We start from the raw sequence: 23,013 nt of genomic DNA, 5'->3' as shown, positions 1-23,013 counted from the left end.
ACAAACGAAAATCCTATTTCAGAAATATCAGTGAATGCTTAAACTCTGAGTGAAAGTTTCTTGAGAGAGGATCTTTACATTATCTCAAAATACCTTCCCACACATGCCACATCATGGATGGACCTTTGAAACACTGTGCTAAATGAAAGAAGACAGACACAAAAGGCCACACTATTGTATGATTCCAACGATATGAAATATCTAAAATAGACAAATCCATAGAAACAGAAAGTATATTATTTGTTGCTGGGGGTTGGGGGAAGGGAGAATAGGGAATAACTGCTTAGTGAGTACACAATTTACTTTGGGGGTGATGAAACGTTCTAGAACTGGATAGTGGTGATGGATATACAATATTGGGAATGTAATGTGTCTCATTTACACTAATAGTAAATGTTATGTGTATTTTATCAAATATCACTTCTACAATTTTTTTTTTTTTGAGATGGAATCTCTCTCTGTCACCCAGGCTGGAGTGCAGTGGCGCGTTCTTGGCTCAGTGCAACCTCTGCCTTCTGGGTTCAAGTGATTCTCCTGCCTCAGCCTCCTGAGTACCTGGAATTACAGGTGCCCACCACCACGCCCGGCTAATTTTTGTGTTTTTAGTAGAGACAGGGTTTCACTACGTTGGCCAGGCTGGTCTCGAACTCCAGACCTCAGGTGATCCACCCACCTCGGCCTCCCAAAGTGCCGGGATTACAAGCATGAGGCACCATGCCCAGCCTTACAAAGTATTTTTTAATGACAAAGGGGAAATGTACAGTGAAAGAATCTGGCAGAACACAACCCAGTGATCAAAGTTAGCATCACCAATGATGGGACAAACTGGCATACTGCACCTCCTGGTGGGATCCATTGAGGACACATGGCTCATATGCCATTCCTGCTTAAAAAATATAATCTGGATCGAATCATCAGGAAACATCGAACACAAATTTGAGGGACATTCTACAAAATAAGTGGTCAATATTCTTAAATAATATCAATGTTATGAAAAACAAAGACAGACCTGAGGAAGTATTCCAGATTAAAGGGGACTAAAGAGACCTGAAACGAAAATGCAGTGTATCAGCTTGGATTGGATCCTGGGGCAGGAAAAAGAAAGCCATGTAGAACATTATTGGGTTAATTGGGGAAATTTGACTATGGACTGTAGATATGATAGTTATATTGTATCACGTTAAATTTCTCCATTGTGATCATCATAGTGTGGTTATGTAAGAAAATGTGCAACCAGGTGCGGTGGCTCACGCCTGTAATCCCAGCACTTTGGGAGGCCGAGGCAGGCGGATCACCTGAGGTCAGGAGTTCGAGACCAGCCTGGCCAACATAGTGAAACCCTGTCTGTACTAAAAATACAAAAATTAGCTGGGCGTGGTGACACGTGCCTGTAGTCCCAGCTACTCAGGAGGCTGAGGCAGGAGAATCACTTGAACCTGGGAGGCAGAGGATGCAGTGGGCTGAGATCGCACCACTGTACTCCAGCCTGGGCAACAGAGTGAGACTCTGTCTCAAAAAAAAAAAAAAAAAAAAGAAAAAGAAAAAAAAAGAAAAGAAAAGAAAAGAAAGAAAATGTCCTTGGTTTTTCAGAAATACACACTAAAGCACTTAGTTGTATGGTTTAGGCAACTTACTCTCAAGTGGTTCAGAAAAAGAGAGACAGTGTATGTGTGTGTGTGTGTGTGTGAGTGTGTGTGTGTGCGTGCATTAATCCATTTAAAACTGGGGCTACAATTTCATCCCAGTGAACAGAAGGTCTGATTCGCACTGTACTTCAAAACATGAAACTACAAATTAATTTTTTTCCAAAAAAATGTAGTAACTATCTCGTCACAAATTATTGGAATAAAAGAAGAATGAACCAAGTGTTGATATTAGGAGGCTGCATCTTCCAACCAGATCATTTGATGTGACATCTTCCCTTGACATTTGAGTTTTGTTGACCAAGATGATGGTTATAAAATACTCAAAGATTTTATCAATTTTTCCCAGTGTGACTTTTAATTGTTTGATAGTTAAAGCATTCTTTTGAATGCTTTTTCCTCATTTATTGGGAACTTCTCCAGCTCAGACAAGTCCTCATGTATTCATGCCCTCAGTGGCTTTTCATCTGATCTCCCATGACATTTTTATCAACTTTGGACAACTGTAGTTCTGTTGTAAGACTTCCAATTTCACTTTGCAATTGCTTCCTCTTGTATGTCACTCAAACTGTCCTGCCAAAGTAAAGCATTACCCTGAAATCTCAGTGGTTTAACATCCAGAGGTTTATTAATTCCCCAATCATAATATCTGTCCAAGGTGTGAGGCTTCAACCTACTATGGCTGCACCATCCCCAGCTACCTCCTTAGGGAGAGGGAGCATGGAGAACTCATACCTGCTCTCTTCTGCATCAGCCCGGAAATGGCCATGTCATGCAGTTCTGGCCCATTGGTTTGAATTAGTCACAAGTACCTGCTGCCCTCTTCATCAGCCTGGAAATGGCCATGTCATGAAGTTCTGGCCTATTAGTAATGAGTTCCCCATCTAGCTGCAAGGGAGTCCAGGAAATATAGTCTTCCTGTGTGATCAGAGAGGGGAAAATGAAATGGCAGCTGTCTGCCACTTGTTGTATTTTTTTGGGGTCCAGTGTTGTTCAAATGGGAATATATATTAAGAAGAATGGTGTCTGAGTGGGTATTTATTTTATTTTATTTTATTTTATTTTTATTTTTATTTCTTTGAGATGTGGTCTTGCTGTGTCACCCAGGCTAGTGTGCAGTGATGAGATCATGGTTTATTGCAGCCTCCACCTCCTGGGCTCAAGCAATCCTTCTGTCTTAGTTTACCAAGTAGGTGGGACCACAGGCACCTGCCATAACACTAGGCTAGTTTTCCAAATGTTTTGTAGAGATGGAGTTTTGCTCTGTTGCCCAAGCTGGTCTCAAACTCCTGGGCTTAATTAACATCCTCTTGCCTTGGCCTCCCAAAATGGTGAGATTACAGGCGTGAGCCACCATGCCCAGCTGGGGATTAATTTTATAAATGGTCAGATCGTTAGGAAATATTTCTGTATTGTGATCACTTTTGCTTTGTTATGAAGTAGGGGCTCTGATCAGGAATCGTCAGAAAATGAGCTTCTGAGCATGGGGAATCAGGAACAGCATCTTAGCACACACAGAGCCACTCCTTCCTGCCCAAGAGACGTGATGCTTTTCTCAATTAGGGATTCTAATGGGTCCTCACCCTCCTCCTCCACAAGGAATATTTGTCGTCTGGATGCAACAGCAGACAGCCCCTCTCATGCCAGACTTTTGTCCAGTAAAGTCTCCAGGCGAGTAAAGATGGGGAGCACTGTTTTTGCTTTTCTAAGACCCCATGAAATGTTGCCTTTTCTTTTTAACAGACAGAGCCTTGCTTTGTTGCCCAGGCTGGAGTGCAGTGGCGCAATTATGGCTCACTGCGTCCTCAACCTCCCAGTCTCAAGCAATCTTCCTGCCTCAGCCTCCTAAGTAGCTGGGACTGCAGGTATGACGACCACGCCCAGCTAATTTTCTTTTATTGTTTTTATAGACAGTGTCTTACTATGTTGCCTGGGCTGGTCTCAATCTCCTGGGCTCAAGTGATCTTCCCACCTTCTCCCAAAGTTCCAGGATTATAGGCATGAGCCACCACGCCCAGCTAAAAGGTGTTTATTTTTTATTGTAATTTTGTTTTGTCATTGACAGATTTTGAATTTCTCTTTCTTACCCTCTTCAGCACATCCCGCTCTGGGCTTTAAACGTGACCCCTCGCCTCGACTCGCCCTGCCCTGTGAAAATGTTGGTGCTTCTTGCTTTCATCATCGCCTTCCACATCACCTCTGCAGCCTTGCTGTTCATTGCCACCGTCGACAATGTAAGTTTCCTTTCCTGCCACTCACGCAGAAACCTGGGTCCTGCAGTCAATAGAAGTGGGTTGTATTGGTCTGTTCTCATGCTGCTGATAAAGGCATACCAGAGACTAGGTAATTTATAAGGAAAATGAGGTCTAATGGACTCACAATTCCACATGTCTGGGAGGCCTCTGCAGAAGGCAAAGGAGGAGCAAAGCCACATCTTACATGGTGGCAGGCAAGAGAGCGTGTGCAGGGGAACTGCCCTTTATAAAACCGTCAGATCTCGTGAGACTTATTCACTACCACAAGAACAGTATGGGATAAACTTGCTCCCATGATTCAGTTACCTCCCACCGGGTCCCTCCCACGACATGTGGGAATTATGGGAATACAATACGAGATTTGGGTGGGGACACAGCCGAACCATATCACAGGTTGAGAACCCTGCCAAAGTTCTCAATGTTGAACCTGCCAAGGTTCAACCACGATTCGGGGTTGTCCTCCCTGCGAAGGCACACACATCTTCTGACCCAAGGGCTGAGGACTCTTGGCCTAAATGTGAAGGTTCAGGCCGTCCCATGTTCAGGTTTTGGTGGCAGGTCCTGGCAGGCAGGGACGTTTGTCCTCCCATCTGTGATTCTTTCATAGAGCCTGGCTCTAGGAAGCCCTTTGAGGATGTTGTGTGACTTCAGCTTTCCTCTAGATCAGAGTTCTCAACCTTGCCACTATTGTCATTTTGGGCTGGATAATCCTTTGTTGTAGGGGCCTCCCTGTGCATTGTAGGAAGTTCAGCAACGTGTCTGGCCTTATCTGCTAGATGCAGTAGCTCCCCCACCCCTGGTTATGACAATCCAAAATATCTTCAGACATTGTTAAATGTCCCATGGAGAACAAAATCACCCTCTGTTGAGGACCGCTGCCCTAGATCTTCCAGGTGACCCATCCCAGGTGACCTCTGCCCCCAACCCCTGACACCTCCTTATCAACCAGGGTCCCTTGTTGCTAGCCCACCCGGCCATGTCCTCCCCAGCAGAGCTCATGCATGGAACTTTCCAGACTCTACCTATGCCCCTATGAAAAATTTAATGTTTCCCTTTAGTATCCAGCTTGCAGCCATATGGCAGGAATGTATTGGATAAATAACCTCTTGGCATAGATTAATATCCCTCCAAACAGGGAGTGACATCAGGGAAGCTTCTTAACAGCCTATACACTGTTCCAAAGACCTGGCTTCCATCCTGCTCATTTTAGACTGCAGAGATAATTAAAGGGCAGAAACATTGCTCAGAAAGCCAAAAAGTACACCATACGAGTGGCCACCAACTCTGCCTACATATACGGCTCCCGTTGATGGATCATCATGACAATAGTAACATAAACTATAATGCCTGTCACTTAGCGATCACTGTGGCCCTTTTATGCATGTCATCTCATGTGATCCCCACCCCAGCTGTACCAGGTAGGGCACCGACATCTCCTTGCACCGGGTTACAGGTGAAGGAACTGCGCCTCAGGGCCATTCGGGCACTTGGCAGAGTTTACAGTGCAGTAAGCAGCAGAGCCAGGATTTGAGCCATTCCAGAGGCTCCTGGTCCTAGAGCCTGTCAGGGGAGATGAGCACAATAATCGCATTTGGGTTCTGGAGCTTCTTGCTGAGCTGCTGTGAGTGGCCTGGGCAGGGACCACATTGCTGCTATGGATTATAGCAGTGGTCCCCAACGTTTTTGGCACCAGGAACCGGTTTCATGGAAGACAATTTTTCTACAGACTGGGGAGGGGGCATTGCAGGGGGATGGTTTCAGAATGATTCAAGTGCATTACATTTATTGTGCACTTTATTATTATTACATTTTAATATATAATGAAATAATTATATAACTCGTCATAATGTGGAATCAGTGGGAGCCCTGAGCTTGTTGTTCTGGACTAGACGGTCCCATCTGGGGGTGATGGGAGACAGTGACAGATCATCAGGCATTAGAGTCTCATAAGGAGCGTGCAGCCTAGATCCCTGGCATGCACAGTTCACAAGGTTGACACTCCTATAAGAATCTAATGCCCCTGGTGACCTGACAGGAGGCAGAGCTCAGGCAGTAATGTGAGTGATGGGGAGCAGCTGTAAATACAGATGAAGCTGCCTTCACTGGCTGCTCACCTCCTGCTGCGTGGCCTGGTTCCTAACAGGCTACAGACAGGTACCAGTCCATGGCCCATGGGTTGGGGAGTCCTAGATTATAGTATTTGGACCCACCATTCCAGGAGCTCACTGTGAAATAAATGGGACCGAATGTTCTTTTAGAATCTCCTTTTTCTATTTCTTCCCATCTAGTCCTTTGGGATCCTGAAAAGGTCCCAGACTTAGTGAAAAGGATAGACAGACATTAGGGGCAGGAAAACCATCAGCCTTAGTGAATCGTATCCAGCACCCCCAGGGTATATTATCATGGCACATACTAAGAAGATGCAGATGGACTTTTTGTCCATCGGTGAGTCTGAGGGTATTCATTATGTATTTGGAATTGTGCTTGGCAACTGGAAAGTAGAAGGAAGGCCATCTTGGGCAGTGGGGGAAGGGCAGCAGCCACCAAAGCACACAGGGAAATGAATGCTTTTGGCTGAAGACAGGAGAATCTTGTCTGGTCATCCCATCCATTGCAATGTTTGTTTGTTTGTTTGTGACAGGGTCTCTCTCTGTCACCCAGGCTGGAGTGTAGTGTTGCGATCATGGCTCACTGCAGCCTCTACTGCCCAGGCTCAAGCGATCCTCCCACCTCAGACTCCTGAGTAGCTGGGACTACAGTCACACACCACCATGCCTGACTAATTTTTTGTATTTTTTTGTAGAGATGGGTTGCCCCGGCTGGTCTCAAACTCCTGGGCTCAAGCAATCCTCCCACCTCGGCCTCCCAAAGTGCTGAAATTATAGGCATGAGCCACTGTGCCCACCCCTGACTGCTATTACTTCCAGCAACTCAGCCTCATCTTTTCTCCCATACTCTCTGAGGGCCTGGACCACCTCTTATCCTTTGGGAGAAAGTAGCAGGGCATCACCTGGAGCCGGTTAGAAATGCAGAATCCTGGCCAGGCGTGGTGGCTCACGCCTGTAATCCCAGCACTTTGGGAGGCCAAGGCAGGTGGATCACCTGAGGTCAGAAGTTTGAGACTAGTCTGACCAACATGGCGAAACCCTGTCTCTACTAAAAATACAAAAATGAGCCAGGTGTGCTGGTGCATGCCTCTAAATCCCAGCTACTCGTGAGACTGAGGCAGGAGAATTGCTTGAACCCAGTATGGGAGGGTTGCAGTGAGCCAAGATCATGCATCGCACTCCAGCCTGGGCAACAAGAGTGAAACTCTGTCTCAAAAAAAACAAAAAAAGGAAAAAAAAAAAGAAATGTAGAATCCCGGCTGAGCGCAGTGGCTCATGCTTGTAATCCCAGCACTGTGGGAGGCTGAGGTGGGCGGATCACCTGAGGTCAGGAGTTCAAGACTAGCCTGACAACATAGTAAACACTGACTCTACAAAAAATACAAAAAGTAGGCGTGGTGATGTGCACCTGTAGTCCCAGATACTCAGGAGGCTGAGGTGGGAGGATTGCTCGAGCCCAAGAGATGGAGGCTGCAGTGAGCCAAGACTGTGCCACTGCCCTCCAGCCTGGATGACAGAGCAAGACCCTGTCTCAAAAAAATAAATAAATAGAAAAGAAAGAAATGCAGAATCCCAGTCCCCACCCCAGACCTCCTGAGTCAGTCTGCATTAGAATAAGCTCCTCAGGCAATTCTCACATGTGTTGCAGTTTGAGAATCCTGGAAGCCCACCATGCCTCGTGCCTAATTAGCAGTCAGTGTTTGCATCATGAACGGACGGCCTTTCTCTCTATTTCCATTTTGTGTTACAGGCCTGGTGGGTAGGAGATGAGTTTTTTGCAGATGTCTGGAGAATATGTACCAACAACACGAATTGCACAGTCATCAATGACAGCTTTCAAGGTAAGTGTGAATGAAGGAAGCTGACTGAGAAGCACTGAGGGAGGAAGGAACGGTCAGGAGTGAGGCTTCGGGTTCCCCGACTCCGTACCCTCTCCTCCACTCACTGCATACTCCGGTGGGCCTGGCCGCGTTTGCTCAGTGTGTGCTGGAGCGGAGGACAGCACAAGCTGGAGATGCCAGGGGTGTGGAGAAGCCGGAGGCTGGAGGGAGACCAACTCCAGCTAAGTTGGACCTCATGCCTTCTCTTCTCTGCCTCTTGGCACAGCCGAGTTTCCCGTTCTCATCCTTTCTCCAGCTTCAGCTCTCATCTAGAATTTTCTCTTCCCTTCTTTTTTTATCCAAGCCTTGCCTCTAAATGGGCTCAGAGACCATAATTTACTCTCCAGTCACTTTTCCCTGTCCAGCAGTAAGAAATCCGAGATCTGGCGGGGCTCAGTGGCTCATGCCTGTAATCCCAGCACTTTGGGAAGCAGAGGCGGATGGATCACTTGAGGTCAGGAGTTTGAGACCAGCCTGGTCAATATGGCGAAACCCCATCTCTACTAAAAATACAAAAATTAGCTGGGCGTGGTGGTGCACGCCTGTAATCCCAGCCACTGAGGAGGCTGAAGCAAGAGAATTGCTTGAATCCAGGAGGCGGAGGTTGCGGTGAGCCGAGATCACGCCACTGCGCTCCACCCTGGGTGACAGAGTGAGACCCTGTCTCAAAAACAAACAAAAATCCAAGATCTGGCTTCCGTTCCTAGACAAGCTGTGTAGCCTTGCATTGGGCATGTCAATTTCAACATCCTCAGCTGTAGAACAGAAGTAATAATGATGCCTTTGCTGTGCCCACCTCTTCAATGAGCTAAAATACATGAAAAGGCTTTAAAATACAGAAAATCCCATTCAAAAACATGCTAACCACTGTTTTTCATTATGAAGTGAATGGTTCTGTTTTTCCTCATAGAACTGATGAAATAGATACTTTGGGATCCCAGTTGCCTGATAAAATACAGTATACCCGGTTAAATTAGAGATTTCAGATAAACAATAAGTACTGTTTTTTAGTATGACTATGGCCCAAATATTAATATAACATGGGACATACTTATGCTAAAAAATATTTGGTTTTGTTGGTGGGGGGGGAGGGTTTAGTTTTTTGGTTTTTGTTTGTTTGTTTGTTTGTTTTTGAGACAGGGTCTCACTCTGTCACCCAGGCTGGAGTGCAGTGGTGCAGTCACGACTCACTGCAGCCTTGACCTCCCGGGCTCAAGTGATCCTCCCATCTCAGCCTCTCAAGTAGCTGGGACTACAGGCACTCACCACCATGCCCAGCTAATTTTCGTAATTTTTGTAGAGATGGAGTTTCACCATGTTGCCCAGGCTGGTCTCGAACTCCTGGGCTCCAGAGATCTGCCCACCTCAGCCTAAAGGAGGAGGAGGAGCCACCATGCCTCTCCTAAAATTTATTTGTTGTCCATCGGATATTCATGTACTGGGCATCCTGTCTTTGTGTTTGTTTTGGTTTGTTTGCCAAATCTGACAATCCTATTAGGGAGCAAAGGAGCCTACTCCCTGGGTCCCAGATTCTCACCACACTCAGTAACAATATCCATATTCATCATAAAAGCAGCAAAAATACCAGTAGAAGGCACCATTTACTTAAAGTTTACTGTGAGGCATGGGTCTAAGTCCTTTACATAGGTGATCTCATAGCCCCATCAGGCAGGGACCATAGGCCCCATTTTAAGATGGGGAAACTGAGGCAGAGAGCAGTTAAGTTACCCAAGGCCGCATAGCCAGGAGCGAATGATGGCGGCAGGATTCCAGTCTAGGTGTGACCAGCTCTAAAGCCAGTACCCTTAACCACGGAACACCATCGGTGCTCCCTTCCATCTCGTCTGTTATTCTGTCATGCTAACCTCTGGCCCTGGGAACAGCCCTCCTTCCCTGAGCTCTGCAAGCCCCAGCTGTCGCCAGTGTGCAAGGCCAGCTGGGAGGGCTTGCTGTGCTCTGTGGCTGTTTTTCTGAATCCTCCACATGGGATTATTCACTTATTTTTCTTTAAAACAGGGGTTGGCGAACCGCTGGCCAAATTCAGTCCAAGGCCTGTTTTTGTTTGGCCGGGGAGCTAAGAACAGTTTTTACATTTTTAAAAGTTGTTTACACACACACACACACCCCTAAAAACAAAACAAAAAGAACATTCAACAAGAGACCATATGGTTCACAAAACCTAAAATATTCACTGTCTGTCCCTCTACTGAAAAAGTTTGCCAACTTTTTTTACTTTAAAAAGTTTACTTTTAAAATAGCCCACTTTTCTGTACATAAATCTACTGTATTTAGTGGAGACAGGGTCTTGCTGTGTTGCCCAGGCTGGTTTTTCACGCCTGGCTTCAAGTGATCCTCCCACCTTGGCCTCCCAAAGTGCTGGGGTTTTTAGGCATGAGCCTCTGCACTCACCCATAAATCTATTTTCTTTTTTTTTTTTCCGTTTGAATCAGGGTCTCGCTTTGTCACTCTGGCTGGAGTGCAGTGGTGCAATCACAGCTCACTGTAACCTCTGCCCCCCAGGTTCGAGTGATCCTCCCACCTCAGCCTCCCCAGTAGCTGGGATTATGGGTGTGTGCCACCACACCTGGCTAATTTTTGTATTTTCTGTAGAGACAGGGTTTTACCATGTTGCCCATGCTGGTCTTGAACTCCTGAGCTCAAGCGATTCTCCCACTTCACCCACTGTGGCCTCCCAAACCATAAGTCTATGTTAAAGAGAATGTCACATCCCTCCCATGAGTGTTATCACTCGTATAAACTAGTATCACTTGCCATAAAAGAAGGGAAGCTTTCTGAAAATACTAGATGGAAAGCCCAATGATGTTATCAAAGTCTGGGCAGACACACTTCCCTCCTGAAGCCTCTAAGCCTGTTTCTGGTCCTTTTCATGTTAAAAAACAAACAACCCCAAACACCCAGATATTAGTGGGTGTTTTTAAAGCACAAAAGCAGCTGGTGGAGAACTCCTCCTTGAGGTCCTTAGAGAAATCTATTTATTTATTTGTTTATTTATTTATTTATTTTTGAGACAGAGTCTCGCTCTGTCACCCAGGCTGGAGTGCAGTGGCGCAATCTCTGCTCGCTGCAGTCCCCGCCTTCTGGGTTCAAGCCATCCTCCTGCCTCAAACTCCCAAGTAGCTGGGATTACAGGTGTGTGCCACCACACCCAGCTAATTTTTGTATTTTTAGTAGAGACAGGGTTTTGCCATATTGGCCAGGCTGGTCTCAAACTCCTGACCTCAGGTGATCCACCTGCCTCTGCCTCCCATAGTGCTGGGATTACAGGCGTGAGTCACCATGCCCAGCCCTTAGAGGAATTTAAACTGAGCAAAGTGAGCATCCCTCTCATTCCGTGAATTTGTGTAGTTTCCCGTCCTCACTGGGTTCCACATACACCCATCTCAGGGGCTGCCTGGCAGGCACATCCTGCACCCCCTCCCAGCTTTGAGAAACCCTGTTCTAGGAACATCTATTCATCCTTTCCCCCAAAGCCATGTTTTCCCCATTTGCCCCATCATGGGTCACTTGTTGCTGAAAATACAGATTCCTGGTGCCCACTCCAGGACAATGGTAGCAGAATCTCCAGGGGGAGAGGCCTAAGAATCTGTATTTTTAATAAGCAATCCCAGGTGATCCCTGGGATTGGGCAGATTTGGGAAGTACTGCTGTAAGCCAGAGGGTCACCACTTGGGCTCCATATTGGAATTCCCTCGGTGGCTTTACGAAGCCCTCGTGCCCGCTCTCAATGCCCGACGTTCTGATTTATTTCATCTCAGTAGAGCCTGCTGGGTTTTCTTTTTCTTTTTCTTTTTTTAATGGAGTTATAATTTACAAACAAGGAAACGCAGGCTTCTTAAGGGCTCAGTTTGGTGGGTTTTGACAATTGTATAAACACCCACGTAACCACCATCCAAAAGAAGACAGAGAACATTGCCAACTCTCCAGAAAGTTCCTCGGGCCCCCTTCCACACAGTTGCTACCGCTTTCTGCCCCGAGGGCAACCACTTCTGACTTCTGTCACTATAACTCACTTCCACCTGTTCCTGGGCCTCATGGGAATGGGGTCATGTGGTGTGTGTCATAGTGGGGGAGCCGGTCTGACTCCTTTCGCTCCCCATAAGGAATTGGGGGAAAGGCTAGATGCTCTCCAAGCAACCGTAATCTGTAGCCAGAATGGATTAAATCCACAGCTCTAGACGTTTCATTAAGTACTTACCAATTATGTTCACTCCAGTGAGTTTTCAGGCAAAACTGCAAAATTGAAGGAAAAAAAAGACAGAAAGAAAAAGAAAAGGAAGGTGTGTCCTTAGATTTTCTGTGCAGCGTGGACGCTGTCCCCTCACGTTATCTTTTGGCCTCATCCTGGTGGTAACATTCAGCATTCAGCTCTTACACAGGACTCCCACCTTGCCTGCACCCTCCAAACCCCCTTATGTAGATGAGTTTACTCTACCTTCCTAGCCCGATGAGGAAGGAGCTATTAGTATCCCCATTTTAGAGTTCAAGACCACCGTGAGCAACATAGCGAGACTCCATCCCTACAAAAATTTTTTAAAAATTAGCCAGACATGCCTGTAGTCCCAGCTACACAGGAGGCTGAGGCAGGAGGATCACTTGGGCCCAAGAGTTCAAGGCTGCAGTGAGCTACGGTTGTGCCACTACACTCCAGCCTGGTTGTCAGAGTGAGACCCTGTCTCAAAAAATATATCTATATCCCCATTTTACAGGTGAGGAAACTGAGGCCCACGAAGGTAACCCATGTGCAGGATGCCTTCCCTATGGCCACATAGCTTTCTACACATTAGCCTCACTGTGACCTGCCCCCATGTGACACCCTCCACCCTAGGCCTCCCTTCTCCACTGAAACTTCTCTGTACTGAGCCCCAAACCTTCATACCCCAGTCTCTGTTAAGGCTGACCTGAAAAGAAAGGAGCTTTCCTCCTCTTTGTAAGTAGTGACCGTGAAGATCAGCCTCCGATACCTACAGGCTAGTGTGGAGTCCACAGAGCACCTCACAAGGTCACAGTCCCATGAGCCCTGAGTCCATGGGAATCCCTCTCTAAAATGGAGACCCCCAAGGCCCCATCCTGATTTCTTGAGTCACAATCTACCACGTTGGAACCTGAGGTTTGTCCTTCAAAAGATTCCCCTGTCCATGAGCCAAGCATGTGGGGTCTGTGACCCAGACCAGGAAGAATGCAGAGCAGGTGGTTCTTGCCTCGTCTTCCAGATAAGGGGTCGAGGATTGTCCAGTCAAATGGACACTGGAGGTGAGGGGCAGGGGGTCTGGAAGACGCCTTGGCTGCCCTTGTGCTCAGACCATGTAGACGACCGCCTGAACCCCTTCCTGTTTGCCTCCTGTCACACCTACTCTGGAGCTGCTGCGGTCGCTGTGTACCCCACAGTGCCGGCTGGCCAAGGTCCTCAGTCCTGCGCCCCTGCCCTTTTCCCGCAGAGTACTCCACGCTGCAGGCGGTCCAGGCCACCATGATCCTCTCCACCATTCTCTGCTGCATCGCCTTCTTCATCTTCGTGCTCCAGCTCTTCCGCCTGAAGCAGGGAGAGAGGTTTGTCCTAACCTCCATCATCCAGCTAATGTCATGTAAGTACATCAACGGGCTTCCCTAACAAGGGGCTTTCTGGAATAAGCACTCCCTTCCCAGCCGCCAGGAGGGAAGCCAGGAGGAGGGAGAATTTGGAAAGGAGAAATTGGCAGCCGCGCGGTGCTGTGTGCCGGTGTGTGTTTGCGTGTGTGTGTGTGTGTGTGTGGGCGCATGCATGCTGTACCACAGTGGGACGTTTATATTTGGGAGTTTGGATTGAGTTGGGAGTCCAGGGAAGGCATCCTGGAGACATGAAGCCAGAGGATCTGGAGGGTGAGTAGGAGTCGCTGTCGACAGTGTTGTGTCTCAATAGAGAGAGGAGGGAACAGTGTCCTGGGTAGAGGGAACAGCATGACGGAAGCCCTGTGACAGGAGGGACGGAGAGCTGCCCAGTGGGGCTGGAGTGCAGTGGGAAGTGAACCAGCAGGGCAGGCAGGGCCACGCCCCATGGAGTCTTGCAGGCCATAGAAAGGATTTGGGGTCTTTGTTCTAAGCTGATGGGAAGCCATCAACAGGTTTCAAGCTGGTGGGTGACAGAGGTGCCCACGTTGCACCAGGCCTGTGCTGGCTGCAGGGGCTCAAGAGATGAACAAGGCACAGCCTCAGTCCTGGAGGAACTTGGAGGAAGCAGAGGTCTCAGAGCATTTTTTTCTACTTAGGAATTTTAGCAAGGCTTAAGTCAGATCAGAAGTCAGAAGCCACACCATGATCATTTGTTGTTTCTCAGTGACGATTTAAAGCTTTCTGATGACAAAATACAGAAGTCCCTTCTAGGGTGCTTTCCAATCAGGAGTTGACGAGTGGCTTGATGAAGGCAAGAAATCTGGGTGTGGGAGCCAACTTAGGCTGCTTGGCCCTAACCACTCTAACTACCACCTCCTTCCAGCCCTCCACCTCCCGGGCCAGGGTCAAGTCCAAACCTGCCATGCCCTCAGGATGACCCTGAGATGTGTCATCAGTGCAGTGCAGTGACAACTTGTTCTAGTTTGCCTGGGACCATCCTCTGGTTTAAAACTGAAAGTCCCGGTCAGGTGCAGGAGCACTTTGGGAGGCCCATGCAGGAGGACTGCTTGAGCCCAGGAGTTCAAGACCAGCCTGGGCAACATAGTGAGACCTCCTCTATACAAAAAGAAAAAAAATTAGCCAAGCATGGCAGAGCACACCTGTAGTCCCAGCTACTTGGGAGGCTGGAGTGGAAGATCATTTGAGCCTGAGAGGTAAAGGCTGCAGTGAGCTGTGGGGTGCTGTACCACTTGTATTAGTCCATTCTCAAGCTGCTAATAAAGACATACCCGAGACTGGGTAATTTGTAAAGGAAAGAGGCTTAATGGACTTACAGTTCCACATGGCTGGGGAGGCCTCACAGTCATGGCGGAAGACAAAGGAAGAACAAAAGGGCTTACATGGCAGCGGGAAAGAGAGCGTGTGCAGGGGAACTCCCATTTATAAAACCATCATATCTTGTGAGACTTACTCACTACCACAAGAACAGTATGGGGGAACCGCCCCCATGATTCAATGATCTCCACCTAGCCCCGTCCTTGACATGTGGGGATTATTACAATTCAAGGTGAGATTGGGGTGGGGACACAGCCAAACCATAGCACCACTGTACTCCAGCCCGAGGGATACAGTGAGACTCTTCCTTGAAAAAATAATAAGATAAATAGAGTAGAATAAAATACAATATAAAATAAAAACACTGAAAGTCCCGCATCCTAGGAAACCCCAGTCCAGGGCAAAGTGGGGTGGTTGGTCACACTCAGCGTCCCCTCCCCTTGGGGCACTTTTACTGGACAGCCAGGTACCACCCCTTCTAGGTACAGGTGGAGAATGAGAGTGTTTTCAAGTGCAAAAGACTCCGGAGGGTCACTTGATCTTGAGAACCCCCCAAGTCCACCACAGTCCTTCCGGGGACCTTTCTAAAGTGCAGACTCCCAAGGCCCCAGCCTGCCCTCTTGAATCAGCATCTGCTGGGTTAGAGCCTGGGGATTTGTACTCCTGTCCCTGAGCCAAGCGTTGGAGAGCAACAAGCCAGAACAAATGAGGCCTAAAGGGAGAATGCGTTCTTCCCAAGGACCCTGGGCGAGGTAGTCAGGAGGTGTCTGATCCCCCTCCTTTACTGTCTCTGTATCTGCCAGTTAGAGGCGTGGACCCCCCACCCTCACCGACCCCATTAAAGGCAATTGAATCCTGTCATTTAACTTGGGGTGGGGGGACTTGGGTGGTTACTCTGTTGCCCGGGCTGAAGTACAGTGGCGTGATCATGGCTCACTGCAGCCTCGGCCTCCAGGGCTCAAGCAATGCTCCCACCTCAGCCTCCCAAGGAACTGGGACTACAGACATGTGCCATTATGCCTGGCTAATTTTTGTAGAGATGGGGTTTCACTATGTTGTGCAGGCTGGTCTCGCAATCTGCCAGCGTCAGCCTCTCAAAGTGTTGGGATTCCGAGCATGAGCCACCGCACCCAGCTTCTGAAGTTTATTTTCTGTTATTGTCTATGTTTGTCTGTTGATCTGTAAGCCTGCTTAGTCAAAATTGATTACCCTAATATATGTATTTAGGAATTTTATATATATAAATTTTCACATATATGAAAATTCCCCCGTATTTTAATATGAAAGTCACGTCTTCCCATTTTCCTTGCATAGCATCCCATTCTCCCCAACTCCTGTGGCCATTTTCTGGTCCAAAGACCTGGCCCTCCCTGTTCTGCTTCAAACTGCAGAGTGTTTAATGCTGTATCAGGCAGGGATCTTTAGACGCAAGCAGCAGATACTCTAACTCATGTGAGAGATGGGATTCTGGGGGTAGCCTGCAAGAATCAAAGGAAAAGCTGAAAAACCAGGTCTTGGAAAGAAGATCCAGGCACCAGCAACTGATAGGCAGCGGCTCCAGGGAGGTGCTGTCAGAATCAAGGAACCCTGACAGGGTCACTGTTTAGACTCAGGTTTCCAGGAGTGAGAGTCTGATTGGCGGAGATTGTCTACGCGCTTGGCCCCTGGCCAGAGAATGTCTGAGCATCTTGAAGGATAGTCCCACCAAAACTGCCTGGCCAGGAGAGAGATAGGTCCCCCAAGGAAAACCACAGAACCTAAGCTCATCTTAGCTCTAATGTCTGTAAATATTGGGACAGCAAGTATTTCTTTTTTTATTTTTTGAGATAGGGTTTCGCTCTGTCGCCCAAGCTGGAGTGCAGGGGTGCGACCTTGGCTCGCTGCAACCTCCGCCTTCCGGGTTCAGGCGATTCTCCTGCCGCAGCCTCCCAAGTAGCTGGGACTACAGGTGTGCACCATCACACCCAGCTAATTTTTGTGTTTTTAGTAGAGGTGAGGTTTTGCTATGTTGGCCAGGCTGGTCTCGAGCTCCTGGGTGCAAGTGATCTGCCCGCTTCAACCTCCCAAAGTGGTGGGATTACAGGCATGATCCAACGCACCCAGCCAAGGACCACAAGTACTAAAATTAGGGTGCTTTTGGCCTTATGTGAGAGAAAATCGAATTAACTGTGATTTCAGCCACAAAGATAGTTACTATTTTTACATAACAAGTACTCTGGAGGTAGAAAAGTTTCTAGAGCTGATTTAGCAGCGTCTGCGTCAAGCACTTCCGCTCATTCCATCCTTCTATTCTGTCATCTTTAGTGTTGGTGTTGACCTCTTCGTGGCTCCAAAAAGTTTGCTGCAACTCCAGATATTTCATCCTGCCCCGACAATATTTAAAGCAGTCAGCAAGAGAAAGGAGAGCAATTTAAAAAAGCTTTCTCCTCCCTCATCGCTCTCTTTTCAGGCAGTCATATTTTTCTTTTTTTTTTTGAGAGGAAGTTTTTGCTGTTGTGCGGGCTGGAGTGCAGTGGTGCGATCTCGGCTCACTGCAACCTCTGCCTCGTGAGTTAAAGCGATTCTCCTGCCTCAGCCTCCCTAGTAGCTGGGATTACAGGCACCTACCACCACACCCGGCTAATTTTTTGTATTTTTAGTAGGGACGGGGTTTCACCATGTTGGCCAGGCTGGTCTGGAACTACTGACCTCAGGTGACCCACCTACCTTGGCCTCACAAAGTGCTGGGATTACAGGCATGAGTCACCGTGTCCGGCCCAGGGAGTCATATTTTTCACTGAAGGTTTTCTGTGGTCAGAACTGGGATACATACTGACCCATCAGCTATAACAAGTAAACAGGAACCAGATTGCCAAGAAGAAGGTTGGCAAACTATGGCCCATAGGTCAAATCTGGCCTGCCACATGTTTTTGTAAATAAAATCTTATTGTAACACTGCCACTATTATTCATTTTTGTATTGTCTATAGGTGGTGTCATGCTACTGTGGCAGACTTGTGTGACCATGGCCCACAGAAAACCTAAACTGCTTACTGTCTGGCCCTTTACAGGGTACGTCTGTGGACCTCTGGCTTAGACCAATTATGTTCACCCTCTGGGTTGGTGATGTGGCTGCCCAAACAAAACTGGGTTTAGTTAGCAAGAATGGGAAGCAAAATAGCTACAGGGTAGGTGACAATATCCTTCCACAAAATATCAGTTGTAATTTTTCCAATAGACTAAAATAAATACCTATTAATAATAAGAGCTTAAGGCTGCACGCGGTGGCTCACGTCTGTAATCCCAGCACTTTGGGAGGCCGAGGCAGGAGGATTGCTTGAGCTCAGGAGTTCAAGACCAGCCTGGGTGACATGGCAAAATCTTGTCTCTACAACAAAATAATAATAAACAAAGAATAAAAGCTGAAGTTTGTCTTCAACTCTGGCCGTATGCCCCTGGGCTACCCAGGGTGCACTGTGGTCCATGATTTATTGAAAATTCACCTTTCTTCCTGACAGGTCTGTGTGTCATGATTGCGGCCTCCATTTATACAGACAGGCGTGAAGACATTCACGACAAAAACGCGAAATTCTATCCCGTGACCAGAGAAGGCAGCTACGGCTACTCCTACATCCTGGCGTGGGTGGCCTTCGCCTGCACCTTCATCAGCGGCATGATGTACCTGATACTGAGGAAGCGCAAATAGAGTTCCGGAGCTGGGTTGCTTCTGCTGCAGTACAGAATCCACATTCAGATAACCATTTTGTATATAATCATTATTTTTTGAGGTTTTTCTAGCAAACGTATTGTTTCCTTTAAAAGCCAAAAAAAAAAAAAAAAAAAAAAAAAAAAGAAAAAAGAAAAAAAAAATCCAAAAGAGAGAAGAGTTTTTGCATTCTTGAGATCAGAGAATAGACTATGAAGGCTGGTATTCAGAACTGCTGCCCACTCAAAAGTCTCAACAAGACACAAGCAAAAATCCAGCAATGCTCAAATCCAAAAGCACTCGGCAGGACATTTCTTAACCATGGGGCTGTGATGGGAGGAGAGGAGAGGCTGGGAAAGCCGGGTCTCTGGGGACGTGCTTCCTATGGGTTTCAGCTGGCCCAAGCCCCTCCCGAATCTCTCTGCTAGTGGTGGGTGGAAGAGGGTGAGGTGGGGTATAGGAGAAGAATGACAGCTTCCTGAGAGGTTTCACCCAAGTTCCAAGTGAGAAGCAGGTGTAGTCCCTGGCATTCTGTCTGTATCCAAACCAGAGCCCAGCCATCCCTCCGGTATCGGGGTGGGTCAGAAAAAGTCTCACCTCAATTTGCCGACAGTGTCACCTGCTTGCCTTAGGAATGGTCATCCTTAACCTGCGTGCCAGATTTAGACTCGTCTTTAGGCAAAACCTACAGCGCCCCCCCCCTCACCCCAGACCTACAGAATCAGAGTCTTCAAGGGATGGGGCCAGGGAATCTGCATTTCTAACGCGCTCCCTGGGCAACGCTTCAGATGCGTTGAAGTTGGGGACCACGGTGCCTGGGCCAGGTCAGCAGAGCTGCCTCGTAAATGCTGGGGTATCGTCATGTGGAGATGGGGAGGTGAATGCAACCCCCACAGCAGGCCAAAACCTTGGCCTCCATCGCCACAGCTGTCTACATCTAGGGCCCCAAAACTCCATTCCTGAGCCATGTGAACTCATAGACACCTTCAGGGTGTGGGGTACAGCCTCCTTCCCATCTTATCCCAGAAGGCCTCTCCCTTCTTGTCCAGCCCTTCATGCTACACCTGGCTGGCCTCTCACCCCTATTTCTAGAGCCTCAGAGGACCCATCCACCATTCATTCATTCATTCATTCATTCATTCATTCATTCATTCATCAACATAAATCATAACTTGCATGCATGTGCCAGGCACAGGGGATACCCTCTAGAGACAATCTCCTCCTAGGGCTCATGGCCTAGTGGAGGAGACAGATTAAAACTTAATTAGAAAAACTGGCTGGGTACAGTGGCTCATGCTTGTAATCCCAGCACTTTGGGAGGCTGAGGCGGGTGGATCACCTGAGGTCAGGAGTTCAAGACCAGCCTGGCCAAAATGGTAAAACCTGTCTCTACTAAAAATACAAAAATGAGCTGGGCGTGGTGGTGCATGCCTGTAATCCCAGCTATCAGGTGGCTGAGGCAGGAGAATCACTTGAAATGGGAGGTGGAGGTTGCAGTGAGCCGAGACCGTGCCACTGCACTCCAGCCTGGGTGACAGAGTGAGACTCCATCTCAAAAAAAGAAAAAAAAGAAAAGAAACTAATTACACACTGTGATGGAGGCTGCAAAGAACACCACTAAGAATTCAAAATCAGCTGGGTGCGGTGGCTCACACCTGTAATCCCAGCACTTTGGGAGGCTGAGGCAGGTGGATCACAAGGTCAGGAGTTCAAGACCAGCCTGGCCAACATGGTGAAACCCCGTCTCTACCGAAAATACAACAAAATTAGCCCGGTGTGGTGGCAGGTGCCTGTAATCCCAGCTACTTAGGAGGCTGAGGCAGGAGAATCGCTTGAAACTGGGAGGCGGAGGTCGCAGTGAGCCGAGATTCACCACTGCACTCCAGCCCAGGCGACAGTCTGAGACTCCGTCTCAAAAATAAAACGATTCAAAATCGAGGCCTGTGGCATGGTAGGGAGGCTGCTTTACGCGTGCCTATTATTAAATGCTCCTGGAGGCATTTAGGTATTTAGATCAGTCTAAATATAGCTCCATTCAGTTCGTGCAGATGACAGTTATTGGGCAGTACCTGTCTGTGTAACACCCAGAAAACATGTCTGTGGAGGGGCCCATGGTCCCGACAGTAAATGCGGTGAGAGGGTCCCATAGAGCTGGAGTTTTCAAGCTTTAGGGGTTCCCGTGCTGCTTGGGACAGGCTGATTCAGAGGGTCTGGGTGAATGATTTCCAGGTGATTTTAAGACTGTGCTGAGAAATAGGGCTTTTGGGGCCTTGTCCTTCAGGATCAAAGCATGATGCTGTGTGGCAATGCAGACCACCCAGGAACCATCCCAGGAGATAAGCTCTTTGCACCTCATTGTCTTTTTCTGCTTATGTTGGAGCAGGATGCTGGGGGCTGTCCTGGGATGGGGTGTGGGACCTCGTGCTATTTAAATACTTTTGCACTTGACCTTCTGCTGAGTGGAGTGGTGGTTTGCCATCAGCTCAGTTCCAGTGGAGCTGAAGAGACATCTGGTTTGAGTAGTTTTAGGGCCACCATGGATATCTCTTCAATGCAGGATTGGCTCTTTCCATCTGCTCTTTCATTCATTTGTTTTTGACAGATAGTATTAAATGTTTACCATGTTCCAGGCACTGTGTGAGGCTCTGAAAATACAGGGGTGAGCAAATCCAGATATCCTCCCTGCCATCATGAAGTTTGGAGTCTATGAGATAGGACCCCCTCCCTATGGAGAAGCCACCAATGCAGTACAGGGTGACCTGGGGCCAGAGACAGGACAAATGTCACCTCCTGCCTCCATGAGATACTCTCACTAGTCATATTGTGGGCAAGAATGTGGCTTACACCCCTAGGGTTAACAGGATGCTACCCAAGCTCATGGAGGAAGTTGAATCTTAAGTTCCCTTGAAACTTTCTACCTTGGTGGCTTTTCTATAATTTTCTTTTTTCTTTTTCTTTTTTTTTTTTTTTTTTGAGACTGAGTTTTGCTCTTGTTGCCCAGGCTGGAGTGCAGTGGCACCATCTTGGCTCACCGCAACCTCTGCCTCCTGGGTTCAAGTGATTCTCCTGCCTCAGCCTCCCGAGTAGCTGGGATTACAGGCATGTCCCACCATGCCCAGCTAATTTTTGTATTTTTAGTAGAGATGGGGTTTCTCCATGTTGGTCAGGCTGGTTTCGAACTCCCAACCTCAGGTGATCCGCCCACCTCAGCCTTCCAAAGTGCTGGGATTACAGGCATGAGCCACTGCGTCTGGCCTTCTATAATTTTCTGGTAGTCACGATGGAAACAAACAAAACACCTTAGAACCAGAGATCGACCCCCTCAAGCAATACATCAATTCCCTTCACAAGAAACGTCGGGGCTACATGAGTATCTGTGTTGAATGCGGTCTGAAATGATCCTATGGATTTTCCCGGCTGGTTGCCACTGCTGTACAACATTCAGTGCCCACATCCACCTGTGCCATTAAGCTTTTTTGAGACATGAGAGATGCCTCTTCCCTGCTGTATGACATGCATTTGGGAAGTTGGAAAGAAATGACAAAATCAGGGAGAAAACATCCAAGCTTCTTACCTGTAGATAGAATCAGCCCTCACTTGGTGCTTATTACCAGTTATTCAAGAACAATAACAACAACAAAATTAGTAGACATCCAAGAAGCACATATTAGGACCAAAGATAGCATCAACTGTATTTGAAGGAACTGTAGTTTGCGCATTTTATGACATTTTTATAAAGTACTGTAATTCTTTCATTGAGGGGCTATGTGATGGAGACAGACTAACTCATTTTGTTATTTGCATTAAAATTATTTTGGGTCTCTGTTCAAATGAGTTTGGAGAATGCTTGACTTGTTGGTCTGTGTGAATGTGTATATATATATACCTGAATACAGGAACATCGGAGACCTATTCACTCCCACACACTCTGCTATAGTTTGCGTGCTTTTGTGGACACCCCTCATGAACAGGCTGGCGCTCTAGGACGCTCTGTGTTCACTGATGATGAAGAAACCTAGAACTCCAAGCCTGTTTGTAAACACACTAAACACAGTGGCCTAGATAGAAACTGTATCGTAGTTTAAAATCTGCCTCGCGGGATGTTACTAAACTCGCTAATAGTTTAAAGGTTACTTACAATAGAGCAAGTTGGACAATTTTGTGGTGTTGGGGAAATGTTAGGGCAAGGCCTAGAGGTTCATTTTGAATCTTGGTTTGTGACTTTAGGGTAGTTAGAAACTTTCTACTTAATGTACCTTTAAAATAGTCCATTTTCTATGTTTTGTATAATCTGAAACTGTACATGGAAAATAAAGTTTAAAACCAGATTGCCCAGAGCAAGACTCTAATGTTCCCAACGGTGATGACATCTAGGGCAGAATGCTGCCATTTTGAGGGGCAGGGGGTCAGCTGATTTCTCATCAAGATAATAATGTATGGTTTTTACACTAAGCAACTGATAAATGGACAATTTATCACTGGACAATCTCCCTCTGCTTCT

The 23,013-nt window shown here is 47.4% G+C and overlaps 1 protein-coding gene across 1 annotated transcript in view, besides 3 other annotated features; it reads left to right on the top strand.

The window, feature by feature from the left end:
* The window catches only part of EMP2 (epithelial membrane protein 2), a 52,177-nt gene extending 29,182 nt beyond the window's left edge, over nt 1-22,995 (top strand). Inside the window, exons 2-5 of the mRNA NM_001424.6 lie at nt 3,740-3,877; nt 7,757-7,847; nt 13,343-13,489; nt 18,325-22,995. Of these exons, the coding sequence (NP_001415.1) occupies nt 3,800-3,877; nt 7,757-7,847; nt 13,343-13,489; nt 18,325-18,512 (504 nt within the window). The 5' untranslated portion in view covers nt 3,740-3,799 and the 3' untranslated portion in view covers nt 18,513-22,995. The remainder of the gene's footprint in view (nt 1-3,739; nt 3,878-7,756; nt 7,848-13,342; nt 13,490-18,324) is intronic.
* Nucleotides 14,403-14,492: an enhancer, noted in NCBI's record as "active region_10381". NCBI's record gives its function as "activates an Ori minimal core promoter by ATAC-STARR-seq in GM12878 lymphoblastoid cells {active_cell/tissue: GM12878}" and the evidence as "EXISTENCE:reporter gene assay evidence [ECO:0000049][PMID:35858748]".
* Nucleotides 17,451-17,745: an enhancer, noted in NCBI's record as "tiled region #3744; HepG2 Activating DNase matched - State 14:Gen5'". NCBI's record gives its function as "activates a minimal TATA promoter and a strong SV40 promoter by Sharpr-MPRA in HepG2 cells {active_cell/tissue: HepG2}" and the evidence as "EXISTENCE:reporter gene assay evidence [ECO:0000049][PMID:27701403]".
* Nucleotides 17,451-17,745: a silencer, noted in NCBI's record as "tiled region #3744; K562 Repressive non-DNase unmatched - State 9:DNaseU". NCBI's record gives its function as "represses a minimal TATA promoter and a strong SV40 promoter by Sharpr-MPRA in K562 cells {active_cell/tissue: K562}" and the evidence as "EXISTENCE:reporter gene assay evidence [ECO:0000049][PMID:27701403]".

Source organism: Homo sapiens, chromosome 16, assembly GCF_000001405.40.
Source record: "Homo sapiens chromosome 16, GRCh38.p14 Primary Assembly".
NCBI lineage: Eukaryota > Metazoa > Chordata > Mammalia > Primates > Hominidae > Homo > Homo sapiens.
This window is presented reverse-complemented; position numbering and strand designations above follow the sequence as displayed.